At 38.8% G+C, this 17,131-nt stretch overlaps 1 protein-coding gene across 2 annotated transcripts in view; it reads right to left on the bottom strand.

Annotated features, from left to right (window-relative positions):
- The window catches only part of B3GALT5 (beta-1,3-galactosyltransferase 5), a 60,198-nt gene extending 43,087 nt beyond the window's left edge, over positions 1-17,111 (bottom strand). For both annotated transcript variants that reach the window (NM_001356336.2, NM_001278650.2), the window contains exon 1: positions 16,984-17,111. The gene's annotated coding sequence lies outside the window, so the exon portion shown is untranslated. The remainder of the gene's footprint in view (positions 1-16,983) is intronic.
- Positions 17,112-17,131: the final 20 nt, after the last annotated feature.

The raw sequence follows: 17,131 nt of genomic DNA, 5'->3' as shown, positions 1-17,131 counted from the left end.
ATTTACTCTAAAAATTTTATTGAGAATATATATTCTATTTAAATTTTCAAAATCAGTTGGAAAAAATTCAAACTTATGCTAAAATAAGTGACTTATAAGCACCACTTTTAAATACTAAACATTTTCATTTTAAACCAGCATTACTGGTATTATAACTATATGTGCTTCTGCACATCAGTGTAACTGTACACAGATTTAAGAGAAAAATGATAGCCTACTTATACTAGTCACGAAACAATAAAACCAGGAATTAACAGTAAGTTTGATAAAGTTCATTTTAAAATTCCAACCACTTAAAGAAAATTAACTATGAGGTCAAAGGAAAAATTACATCTGCAATAACAGATTATTTATAAAACAAAACTAATAAGAACACTAGATATGATTCCTTTAACACATTCAAAGTTGCTTTCAGAGGCAGCTTTAGCCTTAAGCATGTTCATTATGAAAGAAAGAAAAAGACTAAGCTCTCAAAGAATTTAGAAAACAAATTCTAAAAAGTTACAGAAAGTTATAAAAAGTTTTATAGAAAATAGCAGGAATAATAAAATTAAAAGCAGGATTGAATTAATTCAAATATTAAAACAATATTACTGATAAATATGCACTATGCACTCACACTCTAAAATGGATTAAGCTCCAGTGTATCTAATCAACATAGAAAAGAAAAAAGAACAAGAAAAATGAGAAATAGACCATGTGAAATGGCACGTATAGAATACAATCAAGATGTTAAGGCTCGGCATGGTGGCTCACGCCTATAATCCCAGCACTTTGGAGGGCTGAGGCGGGCAGATCACTTAAGATCAGGAGTTCGAGACCAGCCTGGCCAACATGGTGAAACCTCGTCTCTACTAAAAATATGGAAATTAGCCGGGTGCAGTGGCGTGGGCCTGTAGACCCAGCTACTCAGGAGGCTGAGGCAGGGAGAATTGCTTGAACCCAGGAGGCAGAGGTTGCAGTAAGCCAAGATCAGGCACCACTGCACTCCAACCTGGGCGACAGAGCGAGACTCCATCTCAAAAAAAAAAAGGATGTTAAGAGGATGTTAAGAGTTCTGCATGTGGAATCCAAGGGAACTGGGTGGAATCTCAAGTCAACCACTTTTTAGTTACAAGACTCTGGGCACAGTTAACCTCTTAAGACTTGATTTTCTCTAAAAATAAGAATGGAAAAGTAAAATGAGAGAATAGCACTAACTACTTCTTAAAGATCTTGTGAAAATCAAACAAGTACTTCATAGAATCCAGAGACCAGTAAGCACTCAGGTCATAATCTAGACCATTCTAAAGACTTACATCTGCTCAAGATATAATCACTCGACATGGTCCCATTAGGTCCCCTGTACAGGACGACATTTGTGATTTCATCTTCAAAGCAATGTATTTCACAGAAACTGGTGAAAGGTCAAATTCTTCCATCTCTGACACAGCACTGACATGGTTGTGTATGAGCCAGTGGCAGCTGATATGGAGTCATGTGACAAAGGTCGAAACGTCCTCCAGGAAATATGTCCTTAGGCACCGTTTTGTGCTACAAGAAGCCTCCCACTAAAATGTTGAGACAGTATCCCTAAGTGGGTGCTAAAACGTGTGCACACGGATGTAGAGAGTGGAATGAGAGATAACAAAGACTCGGAAGGGTGAGGGGATGGATGAGAAATTACTTAACGGGTACAATACACGTTACTCGGGTGATGGATACCCACCCTAAGGGCCCTGACTAGACCACTACACAATCTACGCATGTAACCAAATTGCAGGTGTACCCCGTAAGTTTAGATAAACTTTAAAAAGAGATTACATTTTTATGTTGATTTCTCCATATTTTCACCCATTTGGTTCATCATTTCCCCTAATTTACTTACCGTATTTATAATAACGATTTTAAAGTCTTTGTCTATCATGTCTAGTGTTCTCATTGGTTTTGTTTTATAAATAATCTGTTATTGCACACGTAATTTCTCCCTTGACCTCATAGTTAATTTTCTTATTTCTAAGTGGTTAGAATTATAAATGATCTTTATTAAACTTAGTGTTCATCCCTGGTTTTATTGTTTTGTGACTAGTATAAATGCCTATCATTTCCTCTTAAATCTGTGTACAGTTACACTGATGTGCAGAAGTACATATAGTTATAATACCAGTAATGCTGGTTTAAAATGAAAATGTTTAGTATTTTAAAGTGGTGCTTGTACGTCACTTATTTTAAAGTGTGTTTAAAGTCCAAAAGACTACCTGTCAAGTAGCTAGGAAGATGTATCATCTTCTAGCATTTAGACATCCTAGCACCTCTCCACCTTATGCTTTCTTACATCTTAAATAAACAAACATACATAAGTAATAAATGAATAAATAAAAGGTAGAGAGAGGACTTGATTGGAATCTCCTGTGTAAAGAGGAATATTGAAATGGAAAGAATGGGAAAATGTCCAGGAGCAGAAAAATGAATAGCAAAGAACAGAATTTAGAAAAAAAAAAGGTTGGGGGGAAATGGAGGTGAAAGGGGATCGACTGAATACATGAGCAAAACCAGCTTAATGCCCCAACAGTGGCACCTTGTTAACACTTCCTCTCTGCCAGCAACTGTTCTAAGTACTTTTCATGTGATTTCCCAATGAATCCTCACCACCAGCTGCAAGGTAGGTGTTAATGTGCTCTTTCACTAAGGAGAAACCCCACAGGGTGACTTTACCAAGAGTGAGTTCATGGGCAAAGATAGCATCTGAAGCCAGGTGATGCACCCCAAAGTCTGCACCCTAAACTTCCTGCTCGTTCCCCTTCATGGCATCACAGGAAAGTGTCCCAGAGATCAAAGGAGCCTCAAGAACAAAGGATAGTCACCAGTGTCAGTTCTACAGGAAATCTGGGAGCCAGAAGCCTCGAACTTCCAAAATGCAACCTCAGCCAAGCTACTGTGGCTAAAATCAGAAAGCAGATGACAATCCTTTAGGAAGGAAAAGGAAGGTGATCATGGCAGTTGGCTTCAATAAAATCCCCCCCTCCACAGTACCAACAGCTGAAAAGAAGAAAGTCCATGATATGGAATGTGGGAAGAGATGGGAGGGAATGAGCTCTTAGGTCCAGCCTGAGAACAGGACAAGCGAGGAACGTAAGAAATGATGACTGCTGGAGAATAATGATTGGCCTAGGAAAGTAGAAGAGAAATGAATGCAGCCAGTATCTTCCCAGAAGTCAAGTTCATCACAGTGAGAGCATCATATCTGTTAAGAATTAGGAGTCTGTCAACAACAAAAAACAAAAACGCCAGTTTAAAAAGGGGCAAAGGACTTGAATAGACATTCTCCAAAGAAGATATACAGATGGCCAATAAGCTCATGAAAAGATGCTCAACATCACCAACCACTGGCAAATGCAAATCTCAGTCACAATGAGACAGCACTTCGCACCTACCAGGATAGCAATTAATGAAAAAAAGAAAAAAAAACAGAAAATAACGAATGTTGGCAAGGAAATCTGGAAAATCTGGAACCCCTGTGCTCTGCTGGTGGGAATATAAAATGGTGCAGCCAGTGTGGAAAATGATATCACAGCTCCTCAAAAAACTTAAAACAGAATTACTATATAATCCAGCAATTCCACTCCCATGCATATGCCCAAAAGAAATGAAAGCAAAGACTCAAACAAATATTTGTACAACCATATTCATAGTGGCATTATTCACAATAGCCAAAAGGTGAAAACAACCCGAGCGTTCACTGGTAGATGAATAGACAAACAAAATGCTATATATATACACACAGTGAAATACTATTCTGCCCTAAAAAGCAAGGAAATTCTGTCACATGCTCCAACATGGATGAACCTTGAAGACATGCTACATAAAATAAACCAGACACAACAGGACAAATACTGTATGGTTTCACTTACATGGGCTACCTAGAGTAGCAAAATCCATAGAAACAGGAAATAGAATGGGGGTTCCCAGGGGCTGGGGGTAGGGAGGAGAAATGACTGATAATGGGTACAAGATTTCCTCTGGGGTAATGAAAATGTCCTGGGGCTAGACAGTAGTGAAGGTCACACAATACCGTGTATGGACAAAATGCCACAAAACTGTCGTTAAAATGGTACATTTACATTATGTCTATTTTACCACAATTTTAAAAGAGTTAGGGGTTCACTGAATTGTAAACTTTACAGATAACATGCATAATATTGATTATACCCCCCCAAAAAAACTATGAATAAAAGAAAGAAAAAAATCAAGGGCTTGAAGGGAAGCCAAGACTAGGGCTAGAGGGAACGTGGAGTTCTCTCTGTAGGTGGAGGCAGAGTTTCCCTAACCATGCCCCTTCAGACATCAGGAGTCCCTGTGTGCGCCCCTGCGGGGGTGAGAGGAAGGTAGAATTGCAAACTGGGAAACCACTGGGTTAAACCAAATGAAAACAGGTTTCTTTATTGAGGACTTTTTGGAAATCTTCCAAAATTAATATGCATAATGAATCTCAAAAAGGAGACTCACAGGCAAGATTACCCAAATTTATTTGAAACTAATAAATTGCTGCAAATGCCTGCACATAGTTGGGAGCGGGGAAAGGAAAAACAAAGTGAGCAACCCCTAGTGCAGCTAGGTGAGGCGAAAAGAATTCAAGCTTGCGAGGAACACACCCCATGGACTAATGAGGAAATCAGATAAATAAAAGATGGACCGAGTGGGGTTGCAGCCGGGTCAACCGAGGTGGTTAGCAGGCGTGGTAGAGCCATCAGGCTCAGAACGACTGATCACACACGAAAACTGCTTTCTAACTCCATCACTCTTCACTAACCATTTAGCATCATCATGTTTCATTAGCCTGGAAAAACTCCTCCCTCTACCTGATGGAATAACATGCGACAAACCCCCTGGCTTTTTGTGCCATAGGTGGCTACAGACATCAGTGAAAGAGCTTCCTTTAGACATGTGTAAGTGGCATGTATGAAAAGTCACCAAAACAGGAAACTGAAAAAGTGTGTGTGTAATATTGGACATAAGTGTTACACCATAGTCTACAATGTGGAGTTGAGAGCCAGCCGTCAAAGAAGAACCCAGAGGAAAATCCTCATTTTCCATGTAGTTTGGTTATCCTTCCTGCAAATGATCTTCTCCCTCGGAGGGAGTCAGATGGTAAACTGAGTCTCAGAGTAGAAGCACAAACAGGATTTTCAAGAGAGTGAGGATGGAAAGAAAAAAAAAAAACTATCGCCTTGGACGAGGTGATTTTATTTTTGCACTTTTTTTTTTTAGGTAAACTGATTAGCTAACAACTAGCAAAGAGGTAATTTGCACATTTTTATCCTTGAAGAAGCCAAATTCTGAAAAATCCAAATTCAGTTATTTATGGATTCTCCAGAAAACCTTTGAGAGTTCGCTGTGCAGCATTGTCTATGGAATGTCCACCACCATCCTTCCATCAGCACCTCCACCTCAGTAAAACCAGCACTCCACCATTTGCCTCATTCAATTTCCTCAATTCCTTCATTTATATCCAATTATAATAGGCACCTGTTTCTCTTCAAAGCTTCCAGACACCTGGGAATTATGCCAGACTCCCTACAAAACCAAGCCATTGAACACCCACTCTGAGCAACTGCTGATGAGTTGAATAATATTCACAACTATTATTGCTCAAATGTGTAGTAGGGCCTGGGGGCATTTGTTTCTCTACTTTGCCCACACTGAAATGAAAAAAGTAAGTTCAAATTGGCCAAAAATATACAAGCAGCACCCAAACAAAGGGACACAACTTTTGGAATACTCCTTGAAAGTGGTGGCCAGGGAAAAACACCAAAAACACCAGAATTTTACATGTATGTTTTATGGGGGGAGCGAATGCAGAAAAGGGGTGAGGAACTGAAATTCATCAAAGTTTCATTAATAGTTTCCCTTCCCAGATTGGAGAAAGGTAAACAGAGGTGGTGAAGAGGAGACTTAAGAGAAATGATCCTCTGGAGATAAATGAGAAAGAAACCTTCAGACTTGCCATTCCACTTTTCACAGAGAGAAGGAAGGTTGTGACTGAAAGGAGAATCATTCTCCTTCCCCAGAGATAACTGTCTCCAGTAACAATCAGGACTTATTGGACAGACAAAGGAGATGTAGCAGATACATGAAGAGGGTTGGCTTACTCTGATAAGGGTTCCTGAAGAAAGGAATGGAGGAAAAGCAGAGGAAAAAATATGTGAAGACATATCAGCTGAGAATTTTCCAGAATTGAAAATATGAGATCTCAAATCAAAACTGGACTCTAGGTACTCACCATGATAAAGATAAACCTATCTTCCACATCATAGTGAGTCCACAGAACGTCGAAAATGAGAAAGTCCTAAAAGCTAATGTGGAGAAAGGCAAATTATCAACAAAACAGTCACAATTAAGCTGATAGCCATTTCCCATGACCAATAATACATATAGAAGATACCAAAATGCTGGAAAGAAGTAACTGCCCATCTAAAATTTTATACCCAGTTAAACTAATACACAAAAGCAAAGCCATAATTAAAATATTTTCAAACACAGAAATAGTAAGAAAGCTTATCACCCATGTAGCCTCAATAATATTAATTATTAATGAATGTAGTTCAGCAAGAAGTTGCATAAACTCATGTGTATGTCAAGGGATACAGGACACAAAAATGAGCACAGAAATTGATCAAATATATCATTAAATTTAACTAATTTATGCCCATAAAAATAACTACATTTTCATGTTTAAAACATCCAAAAATATAGGAAATTACCCAAGAAAAGAGAAACAGAGGAAGGAAGGAAGGAAGGAAGGAAGGAAGGAAGGAAGGAAGGAAGGAAGGGAGGGAGGGAGGGAGGGAGGGAGGGAGGGAGGGAGGGAGGAAGGAGGGAGGGATGGATGGAAAAGAGAGAGAGAGAGAAAGAAAGAGAAAGGGAGGAAGGGAGGGAGGAAGGAAGGAAAGAAGGAACGAAGGAAGGAGGGAGGGAAGGAAGGATGGAGGGAGGGAGGGAGGAAAAGAAAAGAAAAGAAAAGAAAATTTACAAGTTCAAACTAAGGAATAGTTACAAAATAAGGGAACAAGGTTGTTAGTTAAATTGTGCTGAGGTCCTTGTCATGATAGAGAAAATACCAGGAATACCAAAAATGTTTATATATCGTTAAAATACATGATTCAAGATTAAATATAATCATTAAAAATATATATACAGTCTACAGTCTGAAAACCAGCAAAAGAAGTAAAATGGGAATGTAGAAAACTGTATCAATCCAACAGGAGACGAAAAAATGAAGAAAAGAGAACTAAAGAAAAAAGGTATGAAAAAGAAAACACATAATGAGATAAAAGAATTAAATCCAAAGGCCTCAGAAATTATGTATATTATAAATGGATTAAGTTCACTTGCTTAGAAACACAATAAGCAGGTTGGAAAAAATCTACCTATATGCGAGTTCAAATGACACACCCAAAGTAAAGCTACAACGATAGGCAGGAAAGATACTTGCTATTAGTTAGGGGGAGAAAAGAAAAAGAAACCAACCCCTAATGCAGCTATGTAAGGCAAAAAGAATTCAAGCCAAAAGTATCAACACTACATAGCAATTCACCATAAATTATTATAATATAGATAGTATAATATAGATCTTTAGAACTTGTAAGCTTCAACAACACAGCATCAAAACATATAACAAAAAATTGATAGCATTCTAAGAATAAATTTTATTTTTACACATTTCTTTTAGAAACGTGTAACCAAATAGAACAAAAATTAGTAATAATGATTTGACAATGAAAATTAATAAACTTCATTTATTAAACCATACAGAAACAGAAAGTAAACATTCTTTTCAATTGCACACATACCACTTATGGGGATTAAAAATCAACAATAAAAACATACTGGAGAAAAATGTGTGTTTTGAAACTTTCAAAAGTAGGCCTCAAAAAAACTTATGGCTTAAAGAGGAAATCATAATAGATATTTTAAACCAAATAAAAATGAAAGACCAACATATCAAAACCTGTGGACAGCAATTAAAAATTATTTAGAAATAAAGTTATAGGTCAAAAGAATAAATATGTAGAATACATTAAGCATATACTTCAAGAAGCTACGAAAAAAGAGCAATAAACATTTGAAAGGTGAGAAAAAGAAAAAGACGAGGATATAACTATCAAGTCATTGATACACAGAATAAAACAACCAAAGAAATTATCTACATACTCAAAAACTGTTTCTTTCAGAAAAACTAATAAAGCAAATAAAACTTTACCAAGATTTAACAAGAAAAAAAGAGACAGAAATAAATCATATTTAAAGTCAAAAAGGTCTGCAACAGAGAAATTTTTAAAATGTTAAATCATAAGAAAATACTATGAACAATTTTATGCCAATAAATTTCAAAACTTTGAAATAATTTTCCAGCAAATCATGAATTAATGTAGTTCATTGAAAAGGAATAGAACCTGAATAAACAAAAGGAAATAGAACCTAAATAAACAATGAATCTGTCATCAGAAGTCCACTGCCTCCACTCTACGATGCAACAACCCAGAAAGATTTAGAGGTGAGCTTTACCAAATTTTAAAGGAACAACAAAAAAAAAAAACCTTTTTGTGCAAGCCATTTCCAAGAGACAGAGAAAAAATACACAACTTCAGACAAGGATAGTAAAAGAAAAGAAAATTATGAACAATATCTCTTTTGAATACAAATGGAAAGGTCCTAAATAAAACACAAGAAATGCACTAATAAATTATACCAGTAAATTAAAGGAAGAAAAAGTCTATGATTATTTCAAAAGCTACATCAAAAAAGAATCAATAAAATTCAGCACCAATTCATAATAAAAAAGAGATCTTTCTTAATTTGACAAAGGGTGTCCATCAAATATCTAAAATAGACATATTTGATAGTGAAACTTAAAAGCATTCCCATTAAGGTGAAGGTGAAGACAAGGATGTCCATTATCACTTTTTTTTCTCAGAGAAAGGGTCTCACTATGTTGCCCAGGCTAGTCTTGAACTTCTGGCCTCAAGCAATCCTCCTGCTTTGGTCTCCCAAAATGTTGGGACTACAGGCATGAGCCATTGTACCTAACCTGTCACTGCTTTTATTAAACATTGCCCTTGAGGTCCCAGCCAATGGAATAAGACCAGAAAAGATGTATATAAGAAATAAAAGAGAAGAAACTAAGCTATTCTTGTTTATAGACAATATGATTATTATGTCAGACCACATAGGCTAGGTTATGCCACAAACAACCCCAAAATCTCGGGGTCTTAACACTGCAAGTTTATCTTCTCATAAGCAAAATCAATTGCTAATTCAGGCTACTCTTGAAGGCAAGCATACAAAGGTCGGTTTATTATCATATGCTATTTTGATCTAATGGTATGCTCATATCAACATTTGCTTTAAACAAGCAGAGCAAAGACAGCTGGGAAATCATGCACCTGCAATTCAATGTCTCAGCACACATCCCTTTAGCTCCCTTTTCATTGGCCAGGGAAAGCCACATGCTTTGCGTAACTTCAAGAGGTGGGAGAAGCAAAATCCTCCCATGTGCTAGAAAGACACAAATAACCAAAATATCTAATACAATTATCTACATAAAACATCCAAGAGACTCTACATGTAAACTATCAGAACCAATAGAAAATGCATCACATTTATCAAATTTCCGTGGTATTATTACCAAAAATGCATAACTTCAGTCTGCATATAAGAAAATATCAGGCAACTCCAAATTGAGGAATACTCTACAAATAACTACCCTGAACTCTTCTGAGATGTCAAGTTTACAAAAGAGAAGACTGAGGAACTATTACAGATTGAACATGAATAAAGCAACATGAAAACCCAATGCAATATGGGATTCTGGCTGGGATCCTGGACCAGAAAAAGGACATTACAGGAAAATTGGAAAAATTCAAACAAGGTCTGAAGATTAGGAATATTATGGCCGGGCAGGCTCACGCCTGTAATCCCAGCACTCTGGGAGGCTGAAGCAGGAGGATCACTTGAGGCCAGGGGTTCGAGACCAGCCTGGCCAACATAGTGAATACTGTCTCTACCAAAAATACCGTCTCTACCAAAAAATATAAAAATTGGCCACACATGGTGGCACACGCCTGTAATCCCAGCTACTTGGGAGGCTGAGGCACGAGAATTGCTTGAACCCGGGAGGCAGAGGTTGCAGTGAGACGAAATCACACCACTGCACTCCAGCCTGGGTGACAGAGCAAGACTCTGCCTAAAAAAAATAAAAGAAAGAAAGAAAAGAAAAAGAATGGCTGAAAAGAACAAAGTGGTAACTTACCTTCCCAGACCAAGACATATTATAAAGTCACAGCAATTAAAACTTGTGGTGTTTGGGCAGAAACAAACAAAATACATCATGACAAAACAGAACAGAGATCTCAAAAATAAACCTACAAATTTTGGAAATGAACTTGACAACTGAACCTCAGATTCGTACATAGACTAAAAGGCAAAAAATAGCTAAATACATTATAAAGCAAAACAAGATGGGAAAACTTGACCTAACTTGATCTAGTATATATAAAAACTTATTACATCAATAAGATACTTGTGATTTATAAACCAATGCTATGGACGGAATTGTGTCCACCCAAAGTTCATGTGTTAAAGCTCTAACCCCAATGTGACTGTATTTGGAGACAAAGCTTTGAGGAAGTAATTAAGGTTAAATGAGGTCATAGGGTGGGATCCTAATTCAATAGGGTTGGTGGCCTCATAAGAAGAAAGGAATCTCTTTCTGCATGTAAGGACACAGACAGAATCTTTAGGATGTATCTGCATCCCTGAAGAGGGTCCTCACCAGAACCTGATCAGGCTGGCACCTTTGATCTCAGACTTCCAGCCTCCAGAACCGTGAGAAAATAATTTTATGTTGTTTAGCCATCCAGTCTATGGTATCTCATTATGGCAGCCCAAGCAGACCATAAAATAGAATAAATAGCCTCAAAACAGATCTACACAAGTATGGTATTACAAATGGTATTACAAATCACCAGAAAAAGGAGTACTGAATTAACAACCTAGGACTGACTATTCATTTGAAAAAATTGAATTTGAATCCCTAACTCACAACATATCAAAAATAAATCCAAGGAGGATTAAAAACCTAAATGTGAAAAGCAAAACTTGAAGGCTTTTAGCAAGAAATACAGTATATGAGACAATCTTTATAGCCTTAGAGTGGGGAAGAATTTCATAAGATGAAAAGCTTCTTCTTAAGAGAAAGCACAAACCATTAAAAAAAAGTGGTAAATTTCACCAAATTAAAAATGAAAACCTATTGTTCAATAAAATGTAAAAATACAAGACACAGACGGAGTAGATATTTGCAATGTATATTACTAAAATTAAGGATCTAGAATTTCTAAATGAGCTTCTATAGATCTATAAGAAAAAGACATTCCAAATGAAAAATGATCAAAATACATGAACAGGCCATTCACAGAAGAGGAAATCCAAATGGCTGAGATACATAATATACAAACAGATGATTAGTTTTACTAGAATCAGGAAAATGCATCTTAAAACACTGAGATTCTACTTCATACTCATGACAATAACAAAAATTTAAAAATCCAATAATTCTAAGGGTTGGGGAAGCTGTGGAAAAACAGGAACTGAGTTAGAGGTATAGTATGTAGGAGCATAAATTGGTACAAATCCCTTGGAAAACATTCTTCAGTATCTAGGAAAGATGCTTTTTCACCCAATGCATCTTTTCTAGGTATGTACTCTAAAGTACACTCTAACATGTATGCAAAGGAGATATGTATAAGAATGTTTATTATAGCATTTTTATATGAAAAATGAAAATCATCTAAACGTCCATTAACAAAACAATAGCTGAGCCAATTGTAGTACAATCCTACAATATAATTTTTTTTAAGAGACAAGGTCTTGCTCTGTTGCCCATGCTAGAGTGCATTGGATTGATCATGGCTCACTGCATCCCCAAACTCCTGGACCCAAGCAATCCTCCCATCTCAGCCTCCCAAGTATCTAGGACTACAGGTGCATGCCACCACGCTTGGGGTAATTTTTTATTTTTTATTTATTTATTTTTTTCATAGAGATGAGGATTCGCTATGTTGCCCAGGCTGGTATCAAACTCTTGGGCTCAAGAGATCCTCCCACCTCAGCCTACCATTTTACATAGCAATGAAAATGAATGAACTACACCCACAGAGGTATCCGATCTTCTGGCTTCCCTGGGCCACATTAGAAGAAGAATTGTCTTGGGCCACACATAAACTACGCTAACACTAACGATAGCTGATGAGCTTTTAAAAAAATCTCAAAGTTTTTAAAAAGTTTATGAATTTGTTTGGGGCCACATTCAAAGCCGTCCTGGGCTGCAGGTTGGACAAGCTTGAACTACAGCTGTGATATGGTTTAGCTCTGTGTCCCCACCCAAATCTCATCTCCGGCTGTAATCCTCAAGTGTCGAGGGAGGGAAGTGATTGGATTAAAAGGCAGTTCCCCCATGTTGTTCTCCTGATAGTGAGAGAATTCTCATGAGATCTGATGGTTTTATAAATGGTAGTTTTTCCCACACGCTCACATGTTCTCTCACTTGCTCTCTCAGGCCATGTAAGACATGCCTGCCTCCCCTTCCGCCATGATTGTAAGTTTCCTGAGGCCTCCCCAGCCATGCAGAACTGTGAATCAATTAAACCTCTTTCCTTTATAAATTACCCAGTCTCTGGAAGTTCTTTATAGCAGTGTGAAAATGGAGTAATACAAGCTATGTCTCAACATGGATAAATATTGAAAACAATGAATCAAAAAGAGCTTCAGTAGGACCATACGAAACCATTTTAGAGAGCTTGAAATATTGAAGTCAATACCATAATTAATCACAGATTTATACATAGAAGTGATGTGGAAACACACATGGAAAAGACAGTAATAATTCAGGATAGTGAGAAGGGATGAAAGGAGATGGGGAGAACTAGGGAGGGGACAGAGGGAGCTTCAACAATGCTTTCCTATTGTCTTCTACATCTAAGCAAGTATGGCCAAGTGTTAGGACACAATAGAGCTGGGATGTGGACTCACACATGCTTTTTCTATTATTATTTCACTTCTGCATGTTTGAAATACTTCAAAATTTGAAAAATAAAAAATGTAATGCCTCCAAGTTACATCCTGAATTTGGGGGCAATCCAAAACCTGAGTGTATCCTGAGAGCAACTTTTAATAAAACTATAAATTTTAATAAATTTAATCAAAATGAATAGAGACTAAATCCACCAATCATGATTATCCATCATTCCCACTGCTTCTGCTCCTTCATATCCTCAGGCCACAGAAAAGCTGATAAACTGTATCTCCAGGACACCAAAGGAAGCTCTGGGAAGGAAACGATGTTCACATAGGAGAGAAGCAATCGAGGACAATTCAAAAAATTGTTATCTAAAGGTTCAGCTGAACCTGCCCTTGTTAAATATGCTTGACAAATAAAGAAATGGCAGAGCAAATATGCATAAATACCACAGAAAGGAAGGAGGAAATGAAACAAAAGGAAATGTGCAAAAGACAAGTGAAGAAGCCACAGTCTGGAAGAAAATATACTCCCAGCAGTGGATTAAAAGTTTTCACAGTAAATGATTTATTGCTACAAGAAACTAAGAACAGGAAATCAACAAAACAGAGCCACAAGCAATGACAAGGAGACGGAACGAGATTAAAAAGGGAACTTGCAGAGTTTAGGAAGCACAGTGATCACCAAAACACCTCTATGGAAAAATGAATAAATTAGAAACAGTAAGAAAAAGAGAGAGAGCATTGCAAACGTGAATAGGAACACTGAGGAATGGTTTCCAATAATTATAAAAAATCAGAGCTCTTTCATTTTCAGAGACGGGGTCTTGCTATGTTGTCCAGGCTGGTCTCAAACTTCTGGACTCAAGCAATGCTCCTGCCTGTGTCTACAGCTTAAACAAAAAAAAAGACAGGGACCAAAATTTAAATAACAAACTAAATATTGTTCCCCTGATGTTAGTCATCTTATAAAAATAATTCTGCCCTTGCTCACAATATTCTTCTCACAACTTTTTGGGAATTACTTTTCAAATCATGTTATTTTTTAAAATTCAATAAGAAACAACTAGTTTTGTTTCCTTCTTTCCATACCTCATTCTTGATCCAAAACAATTATTACTCAGCATGGTAAAGTGCTTGGCACACAACAAGAAGTCATAATAACAACAATAGCTATAACTTAAGTAGCATGTATATACCTGGCACTGTTCTATTGTTCTTTATTATATACAGAACCACGTAATCCTCACAACCACCCCTATGAAATAAGTACTATTATTCTCTTCAATTTCAATTAACGAAACTGAGGCATAGGGAAATTAAGTAACTTGCCGAAGGTCATATAACAAGTACCTGTCAAAGCTGGGATTTGCAACCAGTCATCTGGCTGCAGAGCCTGAGCTATTTATCTCTGCAAGAATATTTATTCAATGCGTGAATGAATGATCAGCCACTCTGTTTACCCAACTTGGTCCCAAACGACTTCTGGCTCCGATGTCTTCTATTAAGGATGTGGGGATGATGTTCAAAATTAGATATAAAAATTCCGGTTGTTTTGTTTTTCAAATGAATCTCACTGCACCTGCACGATACTCAGAGCTCCTAATTCTGGTTTTCAACTGAAGGCCATGTTAGTTCTCAAAATCTCTATAAATCATCTTACCCACCCCTTCACCTTTCATCTTCAGACACAGGGTCAGTTAACTCCCTCCTTCCACGGGCAAAGAAGTGTTGTCAAAACTCGGAAGAGGTCAGCCACAAAGCTTGATGGAACCCTATCCTCAGGCCAAGGCAAAAGAGAAGAAACTGGAATTAACAAGGAATACGGGAGCCCTCACCAAGTCCAAGGACTTACCTGGGAGCAGGAAGGGGCAGCAGAGGAAAGTAAGCAGTAGGAGGAGAAAGGTCGACAGAAGAGCAATGAACACAGGCTGCAAACCTGGGTTTATGCAGGGCCACGAAGCTTGGGTGGGACCCAGGAACAAGGCTGTTATAGTCAGGGAGACAGACGTCTGTCAGGTACAAGGAGGGACTCCATCCTCATCAGTATCCCGGTCACCCGGGGAGAGAGGCTGATAAAGCCCAGGCAGCTTTTCAAAGTCACTGTAACCAGGATTCAGGATCAGGCTCTAGGCCTGGCAGAAAACCAAGCAGAAATCTGATCAGACGCCCAGTTAAATGGACAAGCATGCATGGGGGGCATCCCCTGGGATGCCAGTACTGGGCTCAGTTCCATGCCCAGGAAGGACAAGATGGAGACCCTGAAACTCTTCTTGGACCCGTCTGAACTGGCCTGAATCTGTAGCTGTCCAGGGACAGAGGAGGGAGGGCTACACCTTCGTGTCCTCTGCTGCATGGATGAAGGTTACCATCCGTGTGGAGAAGTTTGGCCATGGTGAGGTATGCAGAATCTCATAAAACCAACTATTAAAGGTGGCCCTTGTTTATTCAAAGTACCTACTTAGAAATCCTACAAAAGAAGGGATGCCCTTGTCTGGAAGAACCTTTGCAAAGACAACCTTGTCCTTGTCAATCTTCTGAGGTGACAGCATAGTGAAACATCTCTTTCCGATTTGCATCTCCAGGAGGTAACGTCCATGGGCCTCACACTGAGCTCCTTCCTGAACACGTCAGATTTTTATTATTATTAAATTTACCTAACAAAGAAACTACTTAAGACGAACTGACTTTAAAAGAGAAGGAAAAAATGAAAGGAGATAGGAAACAAGACTTAATACACATGCAATCATTCCTTAAAAGATATAAAATTCTCCCTTTGAAACCAAATTTGCATATTACACGCACCTGTTTTAAAGAGGAAACACCACAAAAGGTACATGTAAAGATGGGCAGAATCAGCATGCATTTACCTAGAAATGCCCCTCCGAAGACTTCCTACATCTGTAAAATACTCTCAACAGCAGCCACTGCCTACCCCAAGCACCCAACGAAACATGACACTTCCCCAGATCTGTATCTTCATTAAATTCTACTCCTCCTCCATCTCCATCTCTTTGAAAAAGACAAAAATAGTAAATGAGGAAGATGTGGAGATGAGAAGTAATGTTAATATTTACAATAGGTGGCCACATATAACAAAGACTTAAGTTTGCTATGCTAACATAAAGGACCAGTGAAAAATAATTTTCCAACATCTGATTACTGCAGATTCAGTTGCTATTATTTGGAAGCTGTATTTATCCCTCAAGAGTCAGAAACCTAAACAAAAAACGAAACAAAACCACGAAGGAAAATTATGGTGCGGTGTGTGTGAGAACACACGTGCACATGCGCACACATACGCGCGCACACACACACGCACTCACACACACACACACGGTACAGATATTGTTTTTAAAATAATGTTCATTACTGAGTCTTAAGGTACCTCACTGTATTTAGCAATGACCTACAGACTCCCTTCTGGTCCTCCCAAAGTCAAAACCCCTGGTGTCATCTCTTAATGAAAAGCTGTCTTTCTCATGATCCTGCCCATCAGCCCCTTCCACAACCCCCACGATGCAGAAGCTGCCTGCCGCAGGGTGCTTCAGAGTTTGTTTTGTTGTTGTTGCTTAAGATTAGGCCATTCTTTTTAATTGTGCGATGTTTCCATCCAGTGCTGATTCCCTAAGTCTTGTGTCCGCACCGTGCCCACCCAGGAACACAACTTCCTCGGGGCGTGGCGTGAGTAGCGATAAGACTTTATAAATGAGTATGTTTTCACACCAAGTTTGATGACATTTGGTCTGTAACAATTTTCTTTCCCTTCATTTAAAAGGAACGAAGGAGAAAACAGAAGAGCACGCCTGCAGTGCGCGGCCGCGCCGCGGTCCCCTGCGCCCGGCACCCACGCCCCCGCGCGCCGCAGGACCCGGCCCCCCGCTCCCGGCCAGCGCTCCCCGCGCCCCGCGCCCCAGCCCCGGGCCTTACCGTGCGCGGGGCAGCCCCGGCAGGCCCAGTCGGGCTGGAAGCCGCCGCTGGCTCAGAGCCGCATCCCGGCCCGCGGACGCAGGGGGCGCGCGGCCGGTCCCCGGAGGCGCTGGGTCCAGGCCGAGGATGGTTTTGCTCCCCGCTCCGC

This window comes from Homo sapiens, chromosome 21 (assembly GCF_000001405.40).
Source record: "Homo sapiens chromosome 21, GRCh38.p14 Primary Assembly".
Classification (NCBI taxonomy): Eukaryota; Metazoa; Chordata; class Mammalia; order Primates; family Hominidae; genus Homo; species Homo sapiens.
Note: the sequence above shows the minus strand (reverse complement) of the source record. Positions and strands in the feature narration are given on the sequence as shown.